The 27,834-nt window shown below is 41.6% G+C and overlaps 4 non-coding genes and 1 pseudogene across 4 annotated transcripts, besides 1 other annotated feature; 3 read left to right on the forward strand and 2 right to left on the reverse strand.

Annotated features, from left to right (window-relative positions):
* Positions 814–1,136: a transcriptional cis regulatory region, noted in NCBI's record as "candidate enhancer chr6.1373 targeted for multiplex CRISPR interference". NCBI's record gives its function as "positively regulates H1-5 gene expression with high confidence in K562 cells {active_cell/tissue: K562}" and the evidence as "EXISTENCE:mutant phenotype evidence [ECO:0000015][PMID:30612741]".
* Positions 945–1,016, forward strand: TRA-CGC4-1 (tRNA-Ala (anticodon CGC) 4-1). Its single transcript has one exon. It is a non-coding gene; the product is annotated as a tRNA-Ala (tRNA).
* Positions 3,569–4,604, forward strand: RPSAP2 (ribosomal protein SA pseudogene 2; annotated as a pseudogene).
* On the reverse strand, positions 7,059–7,130 carry TRV-AAC6-1 (tRNA-Val (anticodon AAC) 6-1). Its single transcript has one exon. It is a non-coding gene; the product is annotated as a tRNA-Val (tRNA).
* A 7,451-nt stretch (positions 7,131–14,581) lies between these two features.
* Positions 14,582–14,654, reverse strand: TRR-CCG1-1 (tRNA-Arg (anticodon CCG) 1-1). The gene has a single exon. It is a non-coding gene; the product is annotated as a tRNA-Arg (tRNA).
* A 4,719-nt stretch (positions 14,655–19,373) lies between these two features.
* Positions 19,374–19,446, forward strand: TRK-TTT7-1 (tRNA-Lys (anticodon TTT) 7-1). The gene has a single exon. It is a non-coding gene; the product is annotated as a tRNA-Lys (tRNA).
* The last annotated feature ends 8,388 nt before the right edge of the window (positions 19,447–27,834 follow it).

Here is a 27,834-nt window from a genome sequence, read left to right on the forward strand (position 1 = left end):
ATCATACATTTTTTATTATTAAAAATGTAGAACTTAAATTTAGGAAAGACAATATCAAAAAGAACTGCCAAATACAATTGTATTACATCAGGATACTAGATGTGTAATGTAAAAAAAGTTTTTTTTTGCTGTAAAAATTATTAGTTGATCAGGAATGGTGAGAAGGGAAAAAATTTATTAGGTTTCTTTGTTTTGTTTTGTTTTGTTTTGTTTTGTTTTGTTTTGTTTTGTTTGTGTGTGTGTGTGTGTGTGTGTGAGACGGAGTCTCGCTCTGTCGCCCAGGCTGGAGTGCAGTGGCTTGATCTCGGCTCACTGCAAGCTCCGCCTCCCGGGTTCATGCCATTCTCCTGCCTCAGCCTCCCGAGCAGCTGGGACTGCAGCTATTAGGATGCATTAACGAGGATTGAGAGTCAGCTGGAAAATGGATGTTGTCACACTGTCCGACAAATACAGTGTGAATTCAGCTCGCCGACGGCTGCCTCTGGACTGAGGAGCACTTCATTTGAGTTAGTATTGCGGGAGAAAATAGAAGTGTGGCAAACATAGCTCAATTGGAAGAGCTCTGGACTAAAGGTCTAGACTAAAATCAGGGATCCTTCTCCATGACTGAACAGTCCTCAATGTTGGAAGTTTGTGCTTTTTGCTGGTGGAGGAAAGTAGCTTTCATGCAGTTTGCTTGTGAATGGAGCTTGAAGCAGGCTAACAGGAACTGGAAAGTCCGAGGATAAGAAACTGCGTCATTTGGACTATAATCTTAGTGTCTTAGTATACTGTTATAAGTATATTAGGATACTGTTAGCTGCCAAACAGTATCCAGTTCAGTGATTTCACGAAAGTAGTGGAATTTAATCCAGCGATCTTTCTCCAACCAACAGAAAATGAAACCAACAAACTGAAAACAAGTGATATTTTATATATAAGCCAACAGAACTCTCATGCGGTCAGGGGGTGTAGCTCAGTGGTAGAGCGCGTGCTTCGCATGTACGAGGCCCCGGGTTCGACCCCCGGCTCCTCCAGTTGTCCATTTTCTTCATTCTCCTTTCTGGTTCTTTGCATGCGTTTGTCACTTTTTCTCCTACTCCTATAAAAAGAGGACAGTGTCAAATGTGTTGCTTTTAATACTATGCTATTTATTCTGGCACTCATCTGTGGCTTTTTATAAAACTTAGCTTGAGAAGAATGTCTTGCTAACGTGAGTGAAACAAGCAGACATTGAAAGGGGGACACAAATTACCCCACAAGGAGTTCTTCTTTATATTTTTTCCAGACGCAAATATCTTTTAAATTATGTTGATTAAGGTTAAAACTTTCTAGGCTTACATCAAAGCTGTGTGTGGGTCATGGCATCATTTCTAACTGTATGTAGATATCGACTTGTAGCCCAGCGTAAAAAAAAAAAAAAAAAAAAAAAAAAAAAAAAACCTAAATAGATAAATTTTCCATCAAGATCTCCTTGGCAGGAAGCACGAACCCTGCAATCTCATTACGGACCCATGCACTTTGAGTTCCGTTTGGCGGTATCGCTAAAGAGATAGACTAAAAAAGAATGGAAATAAGAAAAAATAGGCAGCTCAGAGAAAATTTTCCGTGCATCTCTGCTTTAGGGGCATTAGGTCGTCCAAGGATGAGGAGCAGAAAATCTTCCCACTGGTTGCCTTCCGCCTCTCTCCTCGGGGCTTCTCCACCAGCCGCCTCTGCCGCTGATAATTGAATTGTGAGCAGCAGAGGGGCTGGGCATTAGGTCCCAAGTTTTTCTGGGTGAGTTAGTGTGTAAAGGTTGTCTAAATGTAAGGTGGCACTCAGCGCTTTGCCTCGCGAACGCTTAAAACATCATTTGGGTGACTGAAAACAGCCAGCTCTCGTTCGCTGCAATAGCTTACAGCCTACAGCAAGCGATCTACCAACAGGTTTTAAAAGTTAGGTCTTGGCTGGGCACGCTGGTTCACGCCTGTAATCCCAGCACTTTGGGAGGCCTAGGTGGGTGGATCACCTCAGGTCAGGAGTTCAAGACCAGCCTGGCCAACATGGTGTAAACCTCTTCTCTACTATTAGCCGGGCGTGGTGGCCGGCGCCTGTAATCCCAGCTACTCGGGAGGCTGAGGCGGGAGAATCGCTTGAACCCGGGAGGCGGAGGTTGCGGTGAGCCGAGATCGCACCTCTCCAGCCTCGGCGACAGAGAGAGACTCCGTCTCAAAAAAAAAAAAAAGAAAAGAAAAAAAAGTTAGGTCTTGGGTTTTGGCAGCAGTTATTTTTATTGCATATTAAATCGACTTTCACAGGAAATGTACACAAAATATGTAATAGAAGACACCGAATAACTCCCCCCATTCCTCAAACCAAAACATCTAGCTGCAGTAAAAATCTCAGAAGCATTGCCAAATAGCGTATTTAAATTATTTGCCTTCTACATTTCCTCGATGAATTTCAGGGTTGTTTGTTCTTGAATCTTTAAATGAATTAATAATACTTCACATATCACTGTACCAAAGGCCCCAAAGGCAGGTGTGGCCAAAGGTGTGTGGATGAGGAATAGGACTAGATAAAGTTGCTTGAATTTCTAGAAAGAAACACTTGTTAAAGAGTAAGTAAAAACTATGGTATATCATTGTTCTGCACTTTCTTTTCCATACAAATCGTGTATTGGTGAATGTATCAAAATCGATACCAGTTTTCTTTGTCAAAGCTTTTGCATGCTACCTTTTGTATTAAAAAAGGATGTTTTAAATGTGAAGTTGAAATTCCAAATATAGCGTCAAATTTCCTTTGTTTGAAAAAACTAAGAGCGTGCTCCTCCTAGTTCCTTAAGGAGCAGGAGAGGGAGCAAGGATGAATCACTAGCTCAGTTATCTCTGAGACCCAAACCCAGGACAGAGGTTTTAACCAGCTAAGTCACAGAGTCCCCTGGCAGGGCTATCCCCATCAGGTATATTATGGTCATGCTGCTGTCTGAATTATTTCTGGGCAAAGAAAAAATGATAGACCTTCTTTCTCTTTGACCCTCATTTCATTGACTCCTGATTGGCCCGCAGAGTTGCCAAATCAGTGAAAAACAGCTTGGACCACCTTCCATTTTGCCAAGCATGGATTCTCAGGGCATCTTTTACCTCTTGCTGTTTATAACCCTACAGTATTTGGTGTGGAGCCCTCAACACATCTCTCAGGCAGCTATCAAGAACGATGAAAGACAAAACATCCCCATGAAGCAGTAGAACTCTGGCCATTGTAATCCATGAGGGAATCCATATTTTGGAGACCCCTTTCCAGGAAAAGGGAATAGCTAAGACCCACGACCTCAAAGCTTCACACACAAACAAGCCTGGCCAACGTTAACACACTTGGCTTCAGGTTGGAACTCCAGTGTGTTTCTCTTTCTCCAGGTAGTCTCCACCCTATCACAGATTTCCTACACCGTTGCACCAGAGCCCCTGAATTTTCACTGCTTCTGGCTGTCTGCACAATTAGAAATACTAGGAGGAGGGTACAAAAGAGCAGAACTCAGAAAGTTGTCTGGGGAAATCTAGATTCAGATGGAAGAAGAAAACAGGTCCCAAATGAAAACCTATGTGTGCTTTTCCGCGCTACCCACAGAGGGGTCCATAGGGCGTTGTTTTGGATTCCCGTTGTGACTTGAAGGGAAACTTTCACAATGTTCGGAGCCCTTGATGTACTGCAGATGAATGAGGAGGATGTCCTTAAGTTCCTTGCCGCAAGAACCCACTCAGGTGGCACCAATCTTTACTTCCAAATGGAACAGTACATTTATAAAAGTAAAAGCGATGGCATCTACATCATAAATCTGAAAAGGACCTGAGAGAAGCTTCTGCTGGCAGCTCGTGCCATTGCTGCCATTGAAAACCTTGCTGATGTCAGTGTTATATCCTCCAGGAATACTGGCCAGAGGGCAGTGCTGAAATTTGCTGCTGCCACTGGAGCCACTCCAATTGCTGGCTGCTTCACTCCTGGAACCTTCACTAGCCAGATCCAGGCAGCCTTCCGAGAGCCACGGCTTCCTGTGGTTACTGACCCCAGGGTTGACCACCAGCCTTTAATGGAGGCATCTTATGTTAACCTACCTACCATTGCTCTGTGTAACACAGATTCTCCTCTGTGCTATGTGGATATTGCCATTCCATGCAACAACAAAGGAGCTCACTCAGTGGGTGTGATGTGGTGGATGTTGGTCCCAGAAGTTCGGCGCATAAGTTGCACCATTTCCCGTGAACACCCGTGGGAGGTCATGACTGATCCCTGCTTCTACAGAGATCCCGAAGAGATTGAAAAAGAAAAGCAAGCTGCTGCTGAAAAGGCTGTGACCAACGAGGAATTTCAGGGTGAATGGACTGCACCAGCTCCTCAGTTCACTGCTACCCAGCCTGAGGTTGCAGACAGGTCTGAAGGCCTGCAGGTGCCGTCTGTGCCTATCCAGCAGTTACCTACTGAAGACTGGAGCGCTCAGCCTGACACAGAAGACTGATCTGCAGCTCAAACTGCTCAGGCCACTGAATGGGTAGAAGCAACCACTGAATGGTCTTAAGCTATTCTTGCACAGGCTCTTAGACAACATGGAAATAACATTGACGGGAAATAAACATCAGTTTCAAAAAAAAAAAAAAGGAGAGAGAGAGAGAAAGAAAGAACGAACGAAAGAAAGAAACAAAGAAAGAGTAAGAAAGAAAAGAAAAGAAAGAAAAAAGAAAAAAAAACCTAAGTGTATGCTGTCACAGTCACTGCTCTAGCAAACTCTTCAGTGGATCATCATGATCAGGAAACTCAGCAGTGGCTTCGTCTCAGGGACGCTGCAGTTCCGTTCCTGAGACCTACAAAGAAACACATAGGAGGCATTTAAGTTTAAGGGACTTAAACTTCTGTTACAACCTCTTTACTCTTACCCCGTGCTCCTGGAGAGATTCTGAAACCTCAACCATCACAATGGCACAAATAACAGACACTTTCCTCCTGTTGTTAAATTTTGGGGTGTCCAACTATGTCCACATAAATTTTAGGAGGTAATCCTAAACCATTGTGTCTTCTCTTACTTTTACCTTTCTCTCTAATATTTTTCCTATTTGTGCAAAATCTGTATCTTCCTGAATATGTGAATAAATTATGTATCAACTTCTTGGTTCCTTCCCAACTTTTGTCTCCTGTCCCCACCCCCGCTAGAATTAACGGAGTGAGGCTCAGTTGTGGCTGGAAAGTCACTGAGATGGGCGTTTAGAGGCAAGGCGCCATTTATAACATAGCCAACCAGAAACAACCTCCAATAAAGAGTCAAAAGGTTTTAGACTGGAATGCAGTGTTTCCTGAGCCTGAGGAACCGCCCTGAGAACTTCAATGGTATACCGGTTTGTAACTTACAGCTCCATAGTGGACCGATAATCACCGGATAGGGAGAAAGATGGGAATCTTCACAATTGAAAGGTCTCCCTCAGACGATTATCATTCAGGCTTGAGAACGCCAACCTAGAAAGTGGAGCTGCAGAAACTGTAGTGAGCTGAGCTGCTGGAGGACATTTAGGTAGGAGGAAGCCGTGGAACTGAATCAACGGGAATGGGAGAAAGTGGAAGTGAAGGTGACAAGAGGTGGTGAAGAAAACGAGTCGGGAGATAGGTGGAGGCAGGTGGTTGCAGAAGAGGAAGGGACGAAGGAGAGAGCTTCAAGCCAGATCTTTACGGAGGCCTAAGATTTGGATGGCCCTGAAATTGTCCGCATTGCCAATGTCTCCTAGGCTCCTCTATAATGTTTTGTTTTGAGACGGAATATCGCTCTATCGCCCAGGCTGCAGTGCAGTGGCGCAATCTCGAATCACTGCAACCTCTGCCTCCCGGGTTCAAGCGATTCTCTTGCCTCAGCCTCCCAAGTAGCTGGGATTACAGGCGAGCGCCACCGCGCCCAGCTAATTTTCCTGTTTGTAGTAGAGACAGGGTTTCCGCCATGATCTCGAGCTCCTGAACTCAGCTGATCCGCCTACCTCGGCCTCCCAATGTGCTGGGATTACAGGCATGAGCCACCGAGCCCGGCCCCTCGGCTCCTCTTTGGCTGTAGGAAACCAGGTCTTTCCCTCCCAAGGGAGGTGAACTACAAGCTTCTGTTCCACAGGAAAACATAACCCTTTTTGTCCAAAACTGACACCGCTTTGAGAGCGACCAGCGGCTTTTTCCATCTCTGAAAATAATTTTCTCAACTGTGTATTTTGAAAGTCTCGGAGTTTCGCCAGAAGCGTCTTTCGTTCGGAAAAAATTCTAAACATTCCTTCTTTAGAGAAAGCTGAGATCACAGCGCTCCCATGACTAATGATTGGACCCACTTTTGCCGCCCAACCAAGATTCTATGAGTGGTGGAAATGTAGGGGAGAATGAGGAAAGGTCTGTAGTCTGTCAGATATGGGTGGAGTGGGGGTGGGGGGGGGAGGAGAGAAATCTAATGGATGTTTTCCAAGGGCGATTTTTTTTTCTTCTCTTTCTGTTTTTTATTCCCCCCCGATTTCTTAATAGTAATGAGAAACGGCAGCAAAGGAGAACGAGTCTTTTTTTTTTTTTTTTTTTTTTTTGTGATGGAGTCTTGCTCAGTCGCCCAGGCTGGAGTGCAGTGGCGCGATCTCGGCTCACTGCAAGCTCAGCCTCCCGGGTTTATGCAATTCTCCTGTCTCAGCCTCTGGAGTAGCTGGGACTACAGGTGCCCGCCACCACGCCCGGCTAATTTTTTTTTTTTTTTGTATTTTTAGTAGAGATGGGGTTTCACCATGTTAGCCAGGATGGTCTAGGAGAACGAGTCTTCTATGACCGGCATGCCTGTTGCTTCACTCTCAGGGGATCTTGAATAAGCAGCTTCTCTATTTCAGTAAATAACTATAAAGCTGTGCTGAAGCAGTCAGGTTGGGAGGCTGAAGGAGTGTTAGGACCCATAGTACAAATGAATGAGTACCAAATGGCTTACCTTCGCTGTGAGTAGGAAAAACACAAGCTAGTGTATGCACAAAGAAAAAAGAAAAGACTGGAACTAAGTATTCAAAGACTGAAACGAAATGTTCAACGATAGATATAAGGAAATGTACTTGTGGAAGTGCTGGGGATCGAACCCAGAGCCTCATGAATGTTAAGCATACGCTCTACCACTGAGCTACACCCCCACTTACAATGCCGTTTTCTTACTGATTTATTATATGCTATTATCTAAAGGTGAGGGCTTAAGGCATGATAGGTTAAAGTCCGCTATGTTTTAACTCCTGTTTCTGAAACTTCTGAATGGAATCTTGTCTTGACGCTGTGTCAAGAGGAGAAAGGCATTCTGGACCGAAAGACCCTTGGATCCTCTCACAGCCGTCATCTATTTCAAGGACTGCTGTTAGCCAACTTTCTTTGTCAGTTTCCGTCCACCTGGAGCGAAGTTCCAAGATTGAATCTTCTGGTATGTCTTCAGATTCTCTCCTTTTTAAAAAAACCTCCTCTATGGAGCTGCCAACACACACACACACACACACACACGCGCGCGCGATAGTGCCAGAGAATATAAAGACGAGTTCTGTGAGTGCTGCAGAGGAAACGTAGATCCAGGTGAGGAGACAAGACAAGATGTTAATGCACAAAAGTCAACTAAAAACGAATTTAAATCTTAAACTTAAGCCCCTAAACTGTAAAATTCCTTGAAGAAAACAGGGGGGAATATTCTTGACATTGGTTTAGGCAATGGTTTCTTGAGTATGACACCAAAAGCACAGGCAACAAAAGCAAAAATGGATAAGCGAGACTATAGCAAACTAAAAAGCTTCTTCACAGGAAAGAAAACAATCAACAAAGGAAAAAGGCAAGCTATGGAATGGGAGAAAATATTTGCAAATCATTTATCTGATAAGGGGTTAATATACAAAATAAATTTTTTAAACCGCTACAAGTCAATAGCCACACACACACACACACACACACACACCCCTTAGAATCCCAAATAACCTGATTTTTAAAACGAGCATAGGACTTGAATAGACATGTCTCCAAAGAAGACATACAAATAGCCACTAGGTATGTGAAGAGGTGCTCTTAACATCACTAATCATCAAGGAAATGCAAATCAAAATCACAATAGATACCACCTCACACCTATTAGGATGTCTGTTATTAAAAAGAAAAAACTCAAAAGGTAAGTGTTAGCAAAGATGTAGAGAAATTGGAACCCTTCTACACTGTTGGTGTGTAAAATGATGACACCACTATGGAAAATAGTAAGGGGTCGCCTCAAAAGATAAAAATAGAACTACCATATGATCCAGCAATCCCACTTCTGGGTATATGTCCCCAAAAAATCGAAATTAGAATTTCAAAGAAACATATGCACTCCCATGTTCACTGCAGCATTATTTACAATAACCAAGATAAGGGAACAATCCAAGTGTCCATTGAGAGATGAGTGGACAAAGAAAATGTGGTATATACATACAATGGAATATTATTCAGCCTTTTATAAAAAAGAAATTCTGCCATTTGCACCAGCATCAATGATTAACCTGGAGGACATTATGCTAAGTGAAATAAGCCAGTCACAGAAGGACAAATATTTCATAATTCCACTTATATGAGGTATCTAAAATAGTCAAACTCATAAATGCAGAGAACAGAATGGTGATTGTCAGGGACCAGAGGCAGAGGGAAATGGGGAGTTGTTGCTCGGTGAGTTAAAATTTTAGTTATGAAACATGAATAAGTTCTAGAGATCTATTGCACAACCTAGTGCCTTCAGTTAACAATACCATAATGTACACTTAAAATTTTGTTAAAAAGATAACTCGGCCGGGAGCGGTGGCTCACGCCTGTAATCTCAGCACTTTGGGAGGCCGAGGCGGGCGGATCACGAGGTCAGGAGATCGAGACCATCCTGGCTAACGCGGTGAAACCCCGTCTCTACTAAAAATGTTTTAAAAAATTAGCCGGGCGCGGTGGCGGGCGCCTGTAGTCCCAGCTACTCGAGAGGCTGAGGCAGGAGAATGGCGTGAACCCGGAAGTCGGAGGTTGCAGTGAGCCGAGATCGCACCACTGCACTCTAGCCTGGGCGACAGGCGAGACTCAGTCTCAAAATAAAAAAAAAAAAAAAAAAGATAACTCTGATGTTTAAGTCTTCTTACCACCCATGAACATGAAAGAACACAAAGAAACTTTTGGAGTTGATAAGTGTGTTTATTACCGATTGTGGAAATAGCATTATAAATGTATGCATATGTCCTCACTCATATGCTTACCTTCAACGTGTAGGGGTTTTGCATATATCAACTGTACTTCAATAAAGTTGTTAATAACTCCTGAAAAACAACCAAACAAGCAAAGACAAGAGGTTAATTCACAACATTGACAAAAACAAAGAGTGACAAAGGTAGCAGTTTTGCACAAGGTTGCGTCCAACATCTGGATTTGGAAATGTGGCAGCGGCTTCATCGGCGACTCTACAGCTATAGGTTTTTTTGTTTTTGATTTTTTATAGAGACGGGATGGGGGAAGGGGGCGGGTCGGTCTTCTCCCTGTGTTGCCCAGGCTGGTCTTGAATTCCTGGGCTTAAGCAATACTCCCGCCTCCGCCTCCAAAAGTGCTCGGATTACTGGTGTTTGCCGCCAAGCCTGACTAGCTCTGGTTTTAAAGACAACACAAACGAAGCCGAAGACAGAGGACTCTTTCAGAGCAAATTTTTTTGAGCAAGGAGGAAAGCACAAAGGAAGCTGGTCTCAACCTGAGAAAACCAATTCACCCTTTGTAAAACCCTCCCTACACCCCCACAAGTGAGAAAATTTCATCAGTCCCTGAAGTGCAGAAAGTAGACCCTTCCCATCTGTAGCCAAAATGTGGTGCGACTGTTTAATCCAGATACGAATTTTGGAGAACATTGTAAACCCAGCAGGGGCGTAAGGGAGAGTAGGGAGAAGTTTGTCCCTAATGTACAGGTTATGTTCTTACTATACTAGAAAGGCAAGTGGCTGGGAACTGAAATGAGCTGAGGAGTGGACGCAAGGGAAGGCTTTGAAAAGGAAGGAAGGGCTCTTGGAGCCGGGAGGGATAACACTGAGTGGAGGAGAGAAGAAGCAGCGGAGAAGAAGGCAGAAGAAAAATCGGGGACGCGTCTTTAAAGACGGATAGTATTGAGACAAGCGTGGAGGAAGAAAGCAGCCAAGCGCCGCGTCTCTGCCAAGCTTTCTCTAGGCCCTGGGGAAGAGAGAAGGCTCTAGGTGAGTGGTTTCAAAGTGTATATCCCACAGAAGGGTACGGCTCGTGTTGCCCAAGATTTTGTGACTCTGAGAGTGCCTCACTGCACTGCACTCTCCATCGCAGGAAACAGGCTGAGCATTTTCGAGGGCGTGTGGTTGAGTATTCGTGGAGCAGTAGCCCCTGGTATTGGAGGTTTGAGGAAAGTGACGTTGTGTCAGTTCTCATGTGGAAGCAGCCTGCAGCTTTGATGCAGGCAGCAACTGTTTAGTTTGTGTTTCTTTTTGTTTGTTTGTTTATTTTCGCGTGTTTGGGTTTAAAATACAAGAGAAAGAATGAGGAAGAAAGGTTAAGTAGTGACTGAACGTTTTGGGTTAGAGTAGATACCCACTAAAACCATCGTACTTCTGGCTAGCTCAGCTGGAAATGCATCAGGCCACTAGTCCGGAAATTTAGGAATCACGATCCTGTTCTGATGTAGATACTTTTCATTTTCCCATACTTCTTTTTGATTCATACTCAACAGGCTACTGAACCCAGCTTTCTCCTGGAGCAACCGGGAGGGTATTTGCGGTGCGTTTTGCTGCTTATATTCTCTCTAGTCTCAGCGGAAGAGACAAGATTTGAACGGGGAAAGTCGGATTTGCAGAGAGGTATTCATTCAAGGCTCTTTTCTGCCCTACTGTCAAGTGGATGAACAAAACGCTGACTTAAGATATGAGGAGGATTGCAGTGTTGAGAGTGCAAAAAGTGTCAAGTCAAAACATGGACATATTTTGCTCATAATGTAGATAAATTATTTTGGTAGACATAAATTTTATTATTATTATTATATTTATTTATTTTTTGAGACGGACTCTCGCTCTGTCGCCCAGGCTGGACTGCAGTGGCGCGATCGCGGCTCTCTGCAACTTCCGCCTACCGGGATCAAGCGATTGTCCTGCCTCAGCCTCCCGAGTAGCTGGGAGTACAGGCGCCCGCCACCACACCCGTTTAATTTTTGTATTTTTAGTAGAGACAGGGTTTCACCATATTATTCGGGCTGGTCTCGAACTCCTGACCCCAGGTGATCCGCCCGCCTCGGTCTCCCAAAGTGCTGGGATTACAGGCGTGAGCCACAGCACCCGGCCATAAATTTATTAATATAAAAAATTATTGGTCAGGAGCAGTGGCTTACACCTCAAATCCCAGCACTTTGGGAGACCAAAGCAGGAGGATCAATTGAGTTCAGGAGTTGGAGACCAGCCTGGCTAACATAGTGAGAGCCTGTCTCTACAAAAAAATAGAAAAATTAGCCAGGTATGGTGGTGCACACCTGTGGTCCCAGCTACACCAGAGGCCAAGGCAGGAGGATTGCCTGGGCCTAGGAGTTTGAGGTAGCAGTGAGCCATGCTTGCAGTGCCACTGCACTCCAGCCTGGGTGACAGGGCGAGACCTCAACTCAAAAAATAAATAAAATAAACTTTACTTAAAAAAAATTACTGAGGGGACAGCCAGAGTGGCTCACGCCTGTAATCCTAGCATTTTCGGAGACCAAGACAAGAGAACTGAGTCCAGGAGTTTGTGCTCAAGTAATAACAATACTATCAGCACTCAATCTTGGTATCTTAAAACTTGACATTTAAATGAAATTTTAATTTGAGTCAATTAAGAATAGAATATTCCACTTTTGCATAATTAACCATGAATTCACACAACAAATCAGAATTTATTTATTTCATTTTTATTATTATTATTTTTTGAGATGGTGTCTCACTCTGCCACCCAGGCTGGGGTGCCAGTGGCGTGATCTCAGTTCACTGCAACCTCCACCTCCCGGGTTCAAGTGATTCTCGTGTCTCAGCCTCCCTAGCAGCTGGGATTACAGGCGCACGCCACCAAACCCAGCTAATTCTTGTGTTTTTAGTAGAGATGGATTTCGCCATGTTGGCCAGGCTGGTCTTGACCTCCTGACCTGAGATGATCCGCCCATCTCGGCCTCCCAAAATGCTGGGATTACAGGCATGAGCCACCATGCCCGGGCCAAATTGGAATTTAGCACCCACATTTATCTTAACTCAGTAGTTCCTAAGTAAAAGAGATTTGTAAGGCCAGGCGCGGTGGCTCACGCCTGTAATCCCAGCACTTTGGGAAGCCGAGGCGGGCGGATCACGCAGGAGATCAAGAACATCCTAGCTAACATGGTGAAACCCCGTCTCTACTAAAATTACAAAAAAATTAGCCGGGCTTGGTGGCATGCGCCTGTAGTCCCAGCTACTCAGGAGGCTGAGGCAGGAGAATCGCTTGAATCCGGGAGGCGGAGTTTGCAGTGAGCCGAGATCGCAGTTCACACCACCGCACTCCAGCCTGAGCGATAGAGCGACACTCCGTCTCAAAAAATTAAATAAATAAATAAATAAATAAGTATTTGTTTGTATGTCAATCTAGGAACAATTCACAGCCGTCTCTACTTTGAACCACCCAAAAGGCTGATTTATGTGAATTTAATTTCACTTGACAATTAATTAAACTCCTCTGCATATCCTGCCTTTTGTTTTGTTTCTTGTTTTGTTTGTTTACTAAGAGACTGCAATCTGCTTGTAGTTCACCCCTGCTCAAGCAAGACATACATTCAGTTTTGTTTTTTCAGTTGTGAGTAAATACCTCTTTTCCTCAGCAATATGTGGGTCCTGTGAGTTTCTTAGAGGGCCCTGGCTCATTTTGCTGATAGGGTTGCCAAACTCTTAGTGTGATAATAGTGCATTCTTTGACCACTTTGTTTCTAAATTCTGGCCATCCTTCAAAACTATGAGCTCGAGCGAGTGTCCCAACCACATGAGTTCCAGGTTGTTGTAATTGAGCCTTTATCAGTACATTTTGATGAAAGCTTTTCCTATTAGGATTTGGATTTGTGACCTTCAGATTTTTGTGGAAATTTATTAACAATGTTTGACTCTCGAGTTTTGAGAGCCCAAAGAAAGTTTTTGATAGAAACTTTCTTTTCTTGGTGATATACTCTCCTTGATTGTGACTTCTTCCTCTTCTTCCTCTTTTTGTTCTTTTCTTTCTCCTTCACCTTCTCCTCCTCGTTCTCCTCCTTGTTTCTGCTTTTGTTAACCAAGGTCTGGAAAGATTTTACTTTTCTGTTTACTGTTTTATTTAAGCTTGTGTTGAGAGTAATAAGGAAATCGTAGAAATCAGAGAGAATGGCATAGGCCCTGTAAGTCACCATCATCTTTAATGCGGATGTTAACCAGTACAAGAACCCCGTTAGAGTTGCATTTGCTTTCTAGGGCAAGATCTTTGCTCTAAGTTTTTTTAAACACATGGCTGTCTATCTTTAAAAAAACAAATCATTTTTATTTTATAGAGTATAATTGTCGAACAGTCTTAGCTTTACAGAAAAATTTAGAAGATATTAGAGTTCCCATATACCCTGCACCCAATACCCCTACTATTATGATAGTCCTTACTATTAAGATGGTACTTTTCTGCCGCGCGCGATGACTCACGCCTGTAATCCCAGCACTTTGGGACGTCAAGGCGGGCAGATCACCTGAGGTCAGGAGTTCGAGACCAGCCTGGCCAATATGGTGAAACCCCTTCTCTACCAACAATACAAAAATCAGCCAGGCATGGTGGCGGGCACCTGTAATCCTAGCTACTCGGGAGGCTGAGGCAGGAGAATAGCTTGAACCCTGGAGGTGGAGATTGCAATGAGCAGAGATTGTGCCACTGCACTCCAGCCAGGGCGACAAAGTGAGACTCAAAAATAAATAAATAAATAAATAAAATGCCGGGCACGGTGGTTCACGCCTGTAATCCCAGCACTTTGGGAGGCCGAGGCGGGCGGATCACCTGAGGTCAGGAGTTTGAGACCAACCTGGCCAACATGATGAAACCTCGTCTCTACTAAAAAAACACAAAAATTAGCCGGGCGTGATGGCGGGCGCCTGTAATCCCAGCTACTCGGGAGGCTGAGGCAGGAGAATCGCTTTACCCGGAGAGGCGGAGTTTTCAGTGAGCCGAGATCGTGCCACTGCACTCCTGCCTGGGTGACAGAGCGAGACTCCGTCTCAAAAAAAAAAAAAAAAAAAAAAAAAAAAAAAAAAAAAGAAAAGGGTGATTTTGTGTTGTGTTTGTTAAATTCATGAAACAAGTAGGACAAGACCATAAATTGAAAAACCAAGCCCATTCCAAATTACGAATGCCTCCGGTAGTACCTATGCCAGGGACAAAGTGCACTTTAATAGTCAATACACAGGTTGCTTACCGGGTTCTTGTTTTTTTTGTCAATAGTCTTCTTTCATTTCAAGTTCCCAAAGTCTTGGGAACAAGCCGGTTTTTTTTTTTTTAACTGGCTTGCAGAAAGCTCAAGGAGATGTGCAGAAAGTAAAGATATTTCCTGACAATAGTAAGAACACGACCACGAAGGGACTCGAACCCTCAATCTTCTGATCCGGAATCAGACGCCTTATCCATTAGGCCACGCGGCCGCACGCGGGTGCTAATTTGCACACATCAAGACTGAAGTGTAGTGAGGAAACGTTGAGTTTCTGTTTTCAAACCTTTAACTTCGTAATTAGAGATTTAACAACTTGAAGGGGGGCGGGGAGAGGCGGGGGAGGAGGTGGGCAGAAGGAATAAAACTCCATCTAAAATTCCTAATAGCAATTCCTTAGAATTATAAACTGCGAGATGATCAGAAGTGACATCTTTGCCTTCTTTGAAGGCTCTCTTCTCTAAGTTACTAATAATGATAATGCACGTTCGGGTACAGAAATATGAGCCAAGAACTCAAGTCTGCAATGAAGGAGTGGACATGACAGCGTAAGAGGGAGCATCATTGTTTGATCTATTTTAACCTTTTCCGTCTCAAAGATACGATGGTGCTTCCTCCAGGAAGAAAAGCCTGTAAGCTCAAACAAGAGCTCCCCTGGAACAGAAGACACTGGAGACCGTAAGAGGTGGGAGGTTGGAAGGGGGAAAAGGATAGAAAAACTGCCTGTTGGGTATTATGCTCACCACATGGGTGACGGGTTCAATCGTACTCCAGACATCAGCAACACGCAATACACCCTTGTCCCAAACCTGCACTGTACTCCCTGAATCTAAAATAAAAGTTGAAATTAAAAAAAAAAAAAAAGCTCCCCCTTGTCAGAAAAGCCCCAAGTATTTTGCCTAAAGGTTGATTGCTCTAAGCTCACCTTTGGATTGATCCAGAAAACAGTCTGGGGCGATTTTTTGTTACCCTTTCCCCAGCTATGTCCCCTATGTTGATAGGGTAGGAAAGATTAAAAAAAAAAACAACAACCAAGTTTGTAAAGTAAACCAATCACAGATTCCCTCAGTTTTCGCATCGTCTTGGCTTCATGGAAATGACGAGTTACTGGGAAGAAACTATTTCATTTTTCCAGTGCCCAGTCCTATCTCCTTTCCCCAGAGAGATGCATCTCTCAGCCCTAAACTTTTCCTGGATCCCTTGTACACCATTTTCTCCAGGTTTCTCCAGTCAAAACTCAAGAATTGTTTTAGGCCATATTTTGGATGGTGTATCCTATGTACACTAATTTATTAAGTAATGACCCATGTTTGAGACCACGGAACGCTAGTTCTGGGGCCGGACTAGATGAGTCTGGGTAGACAAAAGAAAGGTCTTCTGCTGTTCCCTATGAAACTGATTTAGTTAAGTCCCTTTCTTTCTCAGAAAGCGTCCTATGAGGAGCATTAGATTGAATAAGGGTTTCTGGTGTGATCCAGTTTGGGGAGGCTACTTGCTCTAGTCAGTGCTGAAGAATCCATCTCCATTTTGGGCAAGATGCACTACCATGACTTATGTTTCAACAGACTCAAACTTATTCACATGTTTTGAAATTGTTCTCAGTTTTGCTTCCTCACCTTCTCACTAGTGGATTTTGTGCCCAAAGAATAGCAATCCAAAATCTCAAAATCTAACAAATTTAAATAAAAGGGCATTTTTTGTTCAGTCTGGAGGAGGAAAAGTTAACTGGCAGACGTAGGCAGCAGATAGTAAAGTTGGCACAGTTAGTAAGGTTGGTAGACTGAGCCAAACCATCGAAATCTATTTATTTATTGTTATATTTATTTATTTATTTATTTATTCCTGCTGTTTGCAGAGCAGGGGTACCCTATAGAAAGTGTGTCCAAAGTAGCCTGAAATTTCTTTCTTCAGGAAGATGCTAAAAAGGATTGGCACTGAGATTTGAAAGAATAATGCTAAGAAACTATTAAATTGTATGAAATGTTTGTTTATACCAGTGATACCATTTCCTTTCCAAAGCCTTTCAGTGTTTTCTCTGATGCCTTTTGATTTTTATCTGATGGGTTCCAGGCAAGATTCCTTTAAAATGTTTAAATATTTCTAACAAAAGTATTTTGGGAGGAATCCAAGAGAGATTTGAAAGTATGACATTCTTAATCTCTCTATAACAATCTGTCTAGATAATTTCACTGAAGAAATGAATGGAGGAGGGTGTCTGTAGATAAAGGTTTCTATAATTGAGATTTGAAAAAAATAGAATTTATTTATTTGTTTAGATGAAACCAGACAACTTTCCAAGCCCTGAATCAAATTGGGGGATGTATTGCACCTTTAGACAAAGAATCTCCCAATGTAGCTACTTTAGCCATTTTACAAAAACCCATAATGCATGACCCTAATAATGTTCTTAACTTTAGAATTTGGAAAACTCAGCATTTCCTGTGAGGTGTGATCCAGTGTACAACAAACGTTCACTCACACACACAGAAAGAACTAAGATTTGCAGCACTTATGGTCTGGTTATTGACCTGACGTGTGTGTGTGTGTGTGTGTGTGTGTGTGTGTGTGTGTGTGTATGTGTGTGTGTGTTGGGGATGGGGGCTACTGTGAAAGGAAAGGATAAAGAAAACTCAGCCAAGTAAAGATTTTCTACTCACATATCTATTTACCATTCTTTTGTCTATATGTCTTTTAAAAGAAGACATACAAATGGCAAATATATGAAAAGGTGCTCAACACCATTGATCATCAAATAAATGCAAATCAAAACTAAAATGAAATGTTATCTCACCCAAGTTAAAATGACTTTCATCCAAAAGACAGGCAAGGACGTGGAGAAAGGAGAACCCTAGTACACTCTTGGTGGGAATTTAAATTAGTACAACCGCTTTGGAGAATAGTATGGAGGTTCCTCAGAAAACTAAAAATATTACCATATATTCCAGCAATCCCCCTATTAGGCCTATACCCAAAAGAAAGGAAATTAGTATATCGAAAAGATATCTACACTGTCATCTTTATTGCAGCACTATTCACAATAGCCAAGATTGGGAAGCATCCTAAGTACCCATCAACAGATAAATGAATAAAGTAAATGTGGTACGTATACACAACGGGGTACTATTCGGCCATGAAAAGAATGAGGTCTTGTCATTTGCAAAGCGGATGGAACTATGTTCTGTGCGGGAAATGCGAGAGGGGAGAAGAAAAGACACACACACAATACCTTTAAGGGTAAATAACCTTTATCCCACGTAAACGGCAATGCAGATATAATAAACAAATGATACAATAAGCAAATTGCAATGGGAAGGGGAGAAGGGAAAAGATATATATATATATATATATACACACACTCACCAAATATATATATATATATATAAATATATATATTTATATATATGTACACTCACAAGACTATGAAGGATTCATCACCACACCGGGAAGCAACAGCCCCGGCTCCAGAGTCGGCCACTCGTCCATGCACAGAGAAGGAGAGGTCTCATGAAGCTCACGAGAGCCCTTCGCGACTGAGCTCAAGGAACAAGAAAAGGTCAACTTGTTTTTGCGATTGTCTGTTGTTTTTCAATAACTAACGTATAGGAATAGATTGAAATAGAGATTTCTCCAAAACAGCACTGGATGAACACCTCAAGGGGTTCATACAACCTGTTCAGGATTTGGTGACCATTGTTTGTGTCCACGTTCAATTGAGTTCAAATTTAATACGTAACTTTTCCTCCACAAACTAGAGGACATTAAGTTAAGCTATACACAGAAAGTAAAACTTCACATATTCTCTCTCATTTGTGGAAGCCAAAAATAAAACAATTGAACTCATGGAGACAGAGAGTAGAATGATGGTTACCAGATGCTGGGAAGGGTATTGGAGGGGGCAGTGAGATGGTTAATGGATACAAAAATATAGTTAGCATGAATAAGATCTATCATTTGATAGCACAACAGGGTGATTATAGTCAACAAAAATGTATTGTACATTTAAAAATAACTTAAAGATTATAACTGGAATGTCTGTAACAAAGAAATGATAAGGTGTTGAGGCGATGGATGAGGTGATGGATGCTTCGTTTATCCCAATATGATTATTACACATTGTATGCCTGCATCAAAATATCCCATGTATCATATATATACATATATATACTATGCAGCAGTAAAAATTAAAAATTAAAAAAAAGATCCATAGACGAAGAAAAAATATCTTCAAAAATAAAACAAGAAAAAAACAAAGAAAAGATCCATTATTAATTACTGCCTTTGTCTGTCTGTGTTTGGAGAACGAATATCTGGCAGAAAAATGCTTGCTGTGTTTAACATCACTATTTCTAAAACCTTTAGACTGTGACCAGCAAAAGCGGCACTAAATACTAAACCAAAAGACACTGTTACACGCGGTTTTCCTCTCTGGCCAGCCAGACCGCCGGTCTGAGGTCCACTTGCCAAAGTGATGCCTGGCTGGCAGTTTCATCCACCAACAGAAAGGGGTCCATTATGGAATGTTCTCTTGCATCTTCAAATTCTTCCTCCTTCGTCTCTCTTACCCTCTGCCTACAAAGGCTTCAAGAAAGAGATGCAAGACAATACTGAGGGATACGAACAAAAGTAGCTCCACAGTTGCCTCGAGAAGTTTAGGTTGCAGGTAATTGGCGAGAATGAAACCCTCTGTATCTAGCAACTCCGCAGTGCTTTGTGTAGAAGACGCTCCATCTCAGGTTACGAAAATCTACAGAAAGGAAATGTTTAAAAAGAGAAAAGGAAAATATTCCTAGGGATTATAATGTCTCTCTTAAGCAGGGTCTTCGAAAAGAGGATAATTCAAGTAATATGATTTACAAATTGCAACATGAAACAAAATGAACTGAACAAATGGAGAAATCTAGATTACATACTCCGTGGGTTGCGTCTACCCAGGGCCTGGATAGCTCAGTTGGTAGAACATCAGACTTTTAATCTGACGGTGCAGGGTTCAAGTCCCTGTTCAGGCGAAATATTTGTGTGTTTTACTCTAGCTCCGGAGTCCCCAACCTCCAGTAAACGTAACCGCGTATCAGGCAGCGCGGCAGGCGAGCCAGAGAAGTTTCATCTGTCCTTATACAGCAACTCCCCAACGCTCCTGCGACCGCCTGAGCTACTCTTCCTCCCAGATAAGCGGGGGCGTCAGATTCTCACAGAAGTCCAAACCCTATTGTGAACTGCGTATGAAAGGGATCTAGATTGTGGGCTCCTTATGAGAATCTAATGCTTGATAATCCGTCACTGTTTTCCATCAGTGCCAGATGGGACTGTCTAGTTGCAGGAAAACAAACTCAAGGCTTCCAGTGATTCTACATTATGGTGAGTTGGATACTTATTTCATTATATATTACAATATAATAACAATATTAAAAAAGTGCACAATAAATCTAATGTGCTTGAATCATCCCAAAATCATCCCCCCCAACCCCTGCTCCCTCATCCATGGAAAAAACTGTCTTTCATGAAACGGTCTCTGGTGCCAAAAAGGTGGGGAACTGCCGCCCAAGATAGTTTATACCAATTAAGCACAGGAAGAAGTTCAGATACTTGTTTGTACAGTGACTAAAACTTTGCTACTTTATGCTTTACAAATGTGGAATGATTTACATCATGAAATTACCAGCCCTAAGGGATTGCCTTAGTGAAGTTGTTTTCCAAACACCAGAATACAGAAATCTAAACTATTTTAGAGACTGTTGACCTGGAGATTTGCATTTTTACATATTTTTTAGAGAATCTCCTTCAACGGTTAACTGAAAACAAAATCAATCAAAATTTCTAAACTCTAAAAACAGAGAAAGAGATATTGAAAGCAAGAAAAGAGACAAAACACCTTACCTACAGAGAAAACCAATTTGCATAACAGTGGGTATCTTATCAGAAATCACAGAAGTCAGAAAGAGTGGCACAACAGTTTTCAAGGACCGAAAGAAAAGAATTGTTAATTCTGAATTCTATATCCACAGAAAATATCCTTTAGAACTGAAGAAGAAATCAAGACATTTTCAGAGCAAAGAAAACTAAGATAATTAGCTTCTAGCAGAATTATCCTTTAAAAAATAGTTAAATTTCTCCAGATGGAAAGAAATGATAAAAGAAGAAATAATTGACACCAGGAAAGAAGAAAGAACATGGTAAGCAAAAAAAAAAAAGGTAAAAACAATACATTTTCCTTTTCCTCTTGAGCTTTCTAAATTATGTTTAACAGTTGAAGCAAAAAGTGTAACATGACCGGGCACGGTGGCTCAGGCATGTAATCCTACCACTTTGGGAGGCCAAGGTGGGCAGATCATGAGATGAGGAGATCAAGACCAGCCTGACTAACATGGTGAAACCCCGTCTCTACTAAAAATACAAAAAATTAGCTGGGCATGGTGGCACACACCTGTAGTCCCAGCTACTCGAGAGGCTGAGGAGGGAGAATCACTTGAACCAGGGAAACGGAGGTTGCAGCGAGCCAAGATCACGCCACTACACTCAGGCCTGGGCAACAGAGTGAGACAATGTCTCAAAAAAAAAAAAAAAAAAAAGAAAGAAAGAAAAAAGTATAACATGGTTCGATGTGGTTCGAAATGTATGTAGAAGAAATAATTTAAGACAATTATATTACAAGTAGGAGAGGCAAAGTGACAAAAAGGTAAAGATGACACACATCACTTTAACTGATAAAATAATGATACCAGTACACAGTGATAAATTAAATAAATATGTAATACTCAGACAAATCACTAAAAGAGTTATATAAAGAGATCATTTAAAAACACTACAGATAGGCTGGGCACAGTGGCTCACACCTGTAATGCCAGCACTTTGGGAGGCTGAGGGGGATCACCTGTGGTCAGGAATTCGAGACCAGCCTGGCCAACATGGTGAAACCCTGTCTCTACTAAAACTACAAAAATTAGCTGGGCATGGTGGCGCATGCCTGTAATCCCAGCTACTTGGGAGGCTGAGGCAGGAGAAAAAAAAAATCAAAAAAACAAAACCACACACACACAAAAACGCTACAGATAAATGACAATGAAATTCTAAAAAAGTATACTAGTAGTCCACAAAGAAGGCTTTAATAAATAAATACATACATACATACATATCCCCAGAAAATGGCAGTAACAGGGTACAAATAGAAAACAAACTGCTAGATTTCAGCCCTAACATATCAATAATTACATTAAATGTAAATGGTCGAAAGGTACCAATTAAAAGACAGAGATTAACAGAGTAGATTAGAAAATATAATCCAACTACATGCTGTCTACAAGAAACTTATTTCAAATATAATTATACATACAGGTTGAAATTAAGCATATAAAAATATATAACATTCAAATGTTAATTAAAAGAAAGCAAAAGTGAGTATATTAATATAATATGAACTTTATTTATTTATCTTTTTTCTTTGAGATGGAGTTTCACTCTTGTCACTCAGACTGGAGTGCAATGGCGCGATCTCTGCTCACTGCAACCTCTGCCTCCAGGGTTCCAGTGATTCTCTTGCCTCAGCCTCCCAAGCAGCTGGAATTACAGGCACGTACCACCATGACTGGCTAATTTTTGTATTTTTAGTAGAGATGGGGTTTCACTATGTTGGTCAGGCTGGTCTCAAACTCCTGACCTCAGGTGATCTACCCACCTCAGCATCCCACGGTGCTGGGATTACAGGCGTGAGCTACCACGTCTGGCCTAATATAAGCTTTAGAACAAAGAAAAATTTTAAAAATCCACCAAGAAGGCATAACAATCCTAAATATGTATAAACCAAACAGAGTTGAAAATATGTAAAGAAAAAAAGAATTTTTAAAAAATAGACAAATCCACAATTACATTAGAGACTTCAACACTTCTCTCATAATAATCGATAGAACAACTAAACAGAAAATCAGCAAGGATGTTGAAGAACTCAAAATCATCTTCAGCTAACAGAATTCAGTCAACATTTAAAGAAGACTCCACACAAGAAAAGCAGAACACACAGAACACAGGTCAAGATGGAACATATTCTGGGCCATAAAACAAACCTCAAATTTAAAAGAATTAACTCACACAGTATGATCCCTGACCACAATGAAATCAAACTAAAAGTCAATCACAGAAAGACAACAGAAGAACATCCAAACACTTGGAAAATGAACAACACACTACTAAATAGTACACAGGACAAAGAGAAAGACTTAGTAGATATCAAAAAATAAATTAACCTGAATAAAAATGAAAGCACAATATACCAAAATTTTCAAGACAACCTAAAAAAACACTGAGAGAGAAATGTATACCACTAACTGCATACATTAGAAAAAGAAAAAAGTCTCAAGTCAGTCATCTAAACTTTTATTTGAAGAACCCAGGTGGGGAAAAAAGCAAAATAAACCCAAAGCAAATAGACAAAAGATAACAATAAAAATAAGAACAAAATTCAGTGAAACGGAACACAAACAAAAAAAGAAAAACAAACAAAAAGCTAGTTCCTTTAGATCAATAAAAGAAGACCTCTAGTAAGACAGAAATTTTAGGAAGAGAGATGACACAAATTACCAATATCAGGAATAAAAAGAGGATATCACTGTAGACTCTGCTGACATCAAAAGGATATGTTTTTGGATGATTTCCTTTAAAAAATTTAGCCGGGCTCGGTGGCTCACACCTGTAATCCCAGCATTTAAAAAATAACTAGCCATGCATGGTGGCGGGTGCCTGTAATCCCAGCTACTCGGGAGACAGGTAGGAGAATCGCTTGAACCGGGAGGTGGAGGGTGCAATGGGCCGAGATAGCACCATTTCACTCCAGCCTGGGCAACAAGAGCGAAACTCCGTCGCAGACTTTTTCTCCCCCTTGTAAGGTCGGAGCGTTCCCACTCAGGAAACAACATTTCTCTACTCTAGGTTTATCTGGCCTCGCATCTCTCCCCAGCTGGGCCCAGCCTCAGCCTATGCTGCAGAAATGTTTAAAGTCAAGCATGTAGAGAAGGAAAAAAAAAAAGGAAAGTGATGTGGAAATTAAAATAGCAGCTGCATAGGAATCTCAACATAGTGCTTAAAATGTGCATAAACGAGACTAGGAGTGCCCTGCGCTTTTGTGAAAACTTCATTTAGAAATAAATGAGAAAGAAGGTGGAGAGGAGCCGAGAACCAGCAGGTGGGGAAAGGGAAGAGGCAGGCTAGAGTTAAAAAATGAAGGAGGAAAAGCATCCTCAAGATTATTCAGAATATATATATATATAATATACATAGTATATACTAATAATATATAAGGATATATTATATCCTAATAATATAAGTAAATAATAATATATAACTTGTTAAATAATCATATAAATAAATATATTTTATAATTATGTTATTTATTATATAATATTAACATAACATATTATCAATATAATATTTTATATAACATATGTAGTATGATATATCCTAATATATAAAAATAATATTAGGATAAGGGAATACTATTGTGGTGGTAAACTGAGGAACGGAAAGACTGATACAGGAGAACAGGAGGATATTTATTTTAAGGTAAGCAGCCACTGAGTGGATTCACATCCAAAAAGTTGAGCACTGGCCGGGCCTGGTGGCTCACGCCCATAATCCCAGCACTTTGAGAGGCCAAGGCTGGCAGATTACCTGAGGTCAGGAGTTCGAGACCAGCCTGGCCAACGTGGTGAAACCCCGTCTCTACTAAAAATACAAAAATTAGCCAGGCGTGGTTGCACATGCTTGTAATCCCAGCTACTCGGGAGGCTGAGGCAGAATTGCTTGAGCCCAGGAGGCGGAGGTGACATTGAGCCAATATCGTGCCACTGCACTCCAGCCTGGCCGACAGAGCAAGACTCTGTCTCAAAACAAAACAAACAAACAAAAAATGCTGAGCGTTGAACAAAGACAGAGCAGGAGTTTTTATAAGCAAAACAAAGGCAGTTAATCATACAGTGCTTAATTTGTGGCCTTGCAGCTGCGTCAAAAGAAAAACAAGAACTGACTAAATACAGACATTTGTAAAAACAGTTATGCTTAAGAAGCCAGGGAAAGGAGTAACAGTATAGGAATTTGCCTTTCCTTTTTTTCCCTTCAACCTTGTTCTTGGGTGGGGTGGGAGAAGGGCGTGTCTGGAAGCCGTTCCTTTGGCCTTGGCTTTTCGGAAAGTGTTATCTTGTAACTGTCCTTGAAGTGAGCTGCTAGGCAAACGAAAACTTGTTTCTTTTCTTTTTAACCCTTTCCTGTTACTTTTCTTGGAGTGAATGAATGCATATTTATTTTTAAATTTCTGCCTTACTATGAATAACTCTTTACACACAAACTTGACAATTTAGATGAGATAGACTAATTCCTTGAAAAACACAAATTAACACAACTAACTCAATATGTAATACATTTTTTATAACCCTGTAACTATTAAGGGAATTAAATTTGTAACATAATTTAAAAAAAAAATCAAGAATCTGGCCGGGCGTGGTGGCTCATGGCTGTAATCCCAGCACTTTGGGAGGCCAAGGCGGGCTGATCACCTGAGGTCAGAAGTTCGAGACCAGCCTGGCTAACATGCTGAAACCCCGTCTCTACTAAAGATACAAAAATTAGCCGGATGTGGTGGCAGGCACCTGTAATCCCAGCTACTTGGGAGGCTGAGGCAGGAGAATCGTTTGAACCTGGGAGGCAGAGGTTGCAGTGAGCCAAGATCGCACCATTGCACTCCAGCCTGGAGGCCAAGAGCAAGACTTCGTTTAAAAAAAAAAAATCAGGAATCTTCGAATCCAAGAAAATTTCACTGAAGAATTCTAAGAAGTTCTTAAGGAGGCCAGGGGCGGTGGCTCATGCCTGTAATCCCAGCACTTTGGGAGGCCGAGGTGGGCGAATCATGAGGTCAGAAGACCGAGACCATCCTGGCTAACACGGTGAAACCCCGTCTCTACTGAAAAAACAAAAAATTAGCTGGGCGTGGTGGCAGGGAGCCTGTAGTCCCAACTACTCGCTGGAGAATGGCGTGAACCCGGGAGGCGGAGCTTGCAGTGACACTCCAACCTGGGCGACAGAGCGCGACTCCGTCTCAAAAAAAAAAAAAAATGGTTAAAGAATTAAAACAAGGTCTACACAATCTATTCTGAAAAAAACAGAAGAGGACAAAAAACTTTCCATTTATTTATGAAGTTAATAGTATCCTGATGCTAAAACCAGGTAAATACAGTACAAAATAATGAGTATTGGTGCATAAATACTTACCAAAATATTATCAAATAGAATTCAGGAATATATAAGAAGCATTATACACCATGATCAAGTGGGGTTTATTCCAGAGACGTAAGACTAGGTAAATTTAGAAACAATCACTGCAATCCACCATATTAACAGGCTAAAAAATAAAATCACGTGATCATATCACAGTAGAAAAAGAATTTGTCAAACTTCAATAGCTACTCATGACAAAAAGTCTCAGAAAAATAGGAATAGAGAACAGCTAACACTGTACATCACGGTAAAAGACAGAATGTGTATTAGTCCGTTTTCACACTGCTATGAAGACACTACCTGAGACTGGGTAATTTTTTTTTTTTTTTAAGATGGAGTCTTGCTCTGTCGCCCAGGCTGGAGGGCAGTGGCCTCCTCTCGGCTCATTTCAACCTCCGCCTCCTGGGTTCAAGCAATTCTTCTGCCTCAGTCTCCCGAGTGGCTGGGACTACAGGCGCAGGCCACCATGCCCGGCTAATTTTTGTATTTTTAGTAGAGACAGGGTTTCACCGTATTGGTCAGGCTGGTCTGGAACTCCTGAACTCATGATCCGCCCGCCTCTGCCTCCCAAAGTGCTGGGATTCCCGGCGTGAGCCACTGTGTCTGGGTAATTGATAAAGGAAATAGGTTTAATTGAGTCACATAGCTGAGGAGGCTTCGGGAAACTTACAATCATGGCGGAAGGGAAATGGGAAGCAAGGACCTTCTTTACATGACAGCAGAAGAAAGAAGTATGAGCAAAAGAGGAACTTGCCAAACACTTATGAAACCATCAGATCTCATGAGAACTCACTCACTATCACCAGAACAGCATGGGGGAAGCCACCCCCATGATCCAACTACCTCCCACCAGGTTTCTCCCACAAAGTCAAAGGAATTAGAATAATTATTTAAAATCTAGGAGGGAAAAACAGTCTACCTGATTTCAAGACTATTTCATTACATTGTTGTATTCTTGTATTATTGTATTATTACTACAGTAATTAAGACTGTATAGTATTGGCAAGGAGATAGGCACGTGGTTAATAGAGAGAATGGAAAAATAAACCTACACAAATATTCTCAACTGGTTTTTGACAAAGTTGCCTAAGTAGTAATTCCATGGAAGAAAAATAAGTCTCATGCCTTCACAAAAGTGAACTTAAAATGGATCGCAGATATGAATATAAAATGTAAAACTATAAAACTTTGAGGAAAATATATGGAAGATAATATTTCCAATCTAGGGCTAGACAAATAATTTTACAGTTGACAGTGAAACATGATCCAGAGATCTTGTAAAAGCTGGTTCTTTTTTCCTCCTTTCCTCTCCTGCTATGTCAGTTGCTTTGGCTGGTACAGAGGCTGACCAAATAGAAATAGAAATAAGAGAGCAGTAAAGGCAATGAATTGGGTCATGTTTTTACTTTTTATGTGACAAAGAAATGACAGAATTGGTGGCCAGGTGCAGTGGCTCATGCCTGTAATCCCAGCACTTTGGGAGGCCAAGGAGGGCAGATCACCTGAGGTCAGGAATTCAAGACCAGCCTGGTCAACATGGTGAAACCCCACCTCTACTAAAAATTAGCTGGGCATGGTGACGCGCACCTGAAATCCCAGCTACTTGGGAGGCTGAGTCAGGAGAATCACCTGAACCCAGGAGGCAGAGGCTGCAGTGAGCCAAGATCACGCCACTGCGCTCCAGCCTGGGTGATAGAGTGAGACCCTGTCTCAAAAAAAAAAGAAAAGAAAAGAAAAGAAAGAAATGAGAGAAAAGGAAAGAAAAGGAGAAAGAGAGAAAGAAAGAAAGAAAAAGAAAGAAAGAAAGAAAGAAAGAAAGAAAGAAAGAAAGAAAGAAAGAAAGAAAAGAAAGAAAGGAAAAAGAGAAAGAAAGAGAAGGGAGGGTAGAATGATAAGAAAGGAAAGAAATAAAGAAAATTGGCTCAAAAGAGTCTCCTGGCTGACAAGAACTCTGGTGAGTTCTTCTACAGGAAAATCAGTCTCTTGTGTGTGACTACCAAAATCATCTAAAATGTTGACGGTGTCAAAGAGATAATAAATGCATCCCCACCCCTGATGTAAGGCAAATACAAACCTCACTGGCTTTCCTAGGTGGTTTGAGTTTTTGATTGAGAATAGGCAGGGAACCCCGGGAACAGCTC

Source organism: Homo sapiens, chromosome 6 (genome assembly GCF_000001405.40).
Source record: "Homo sapiens chromosome 6, GRCh38.p14 Primary Assembly".
Taxonomy (NCBI): Eukaryota; Metazoa; Chordata; class Mammalia; order Primates; family Hominidae; genus Homo; species Homo sapiens.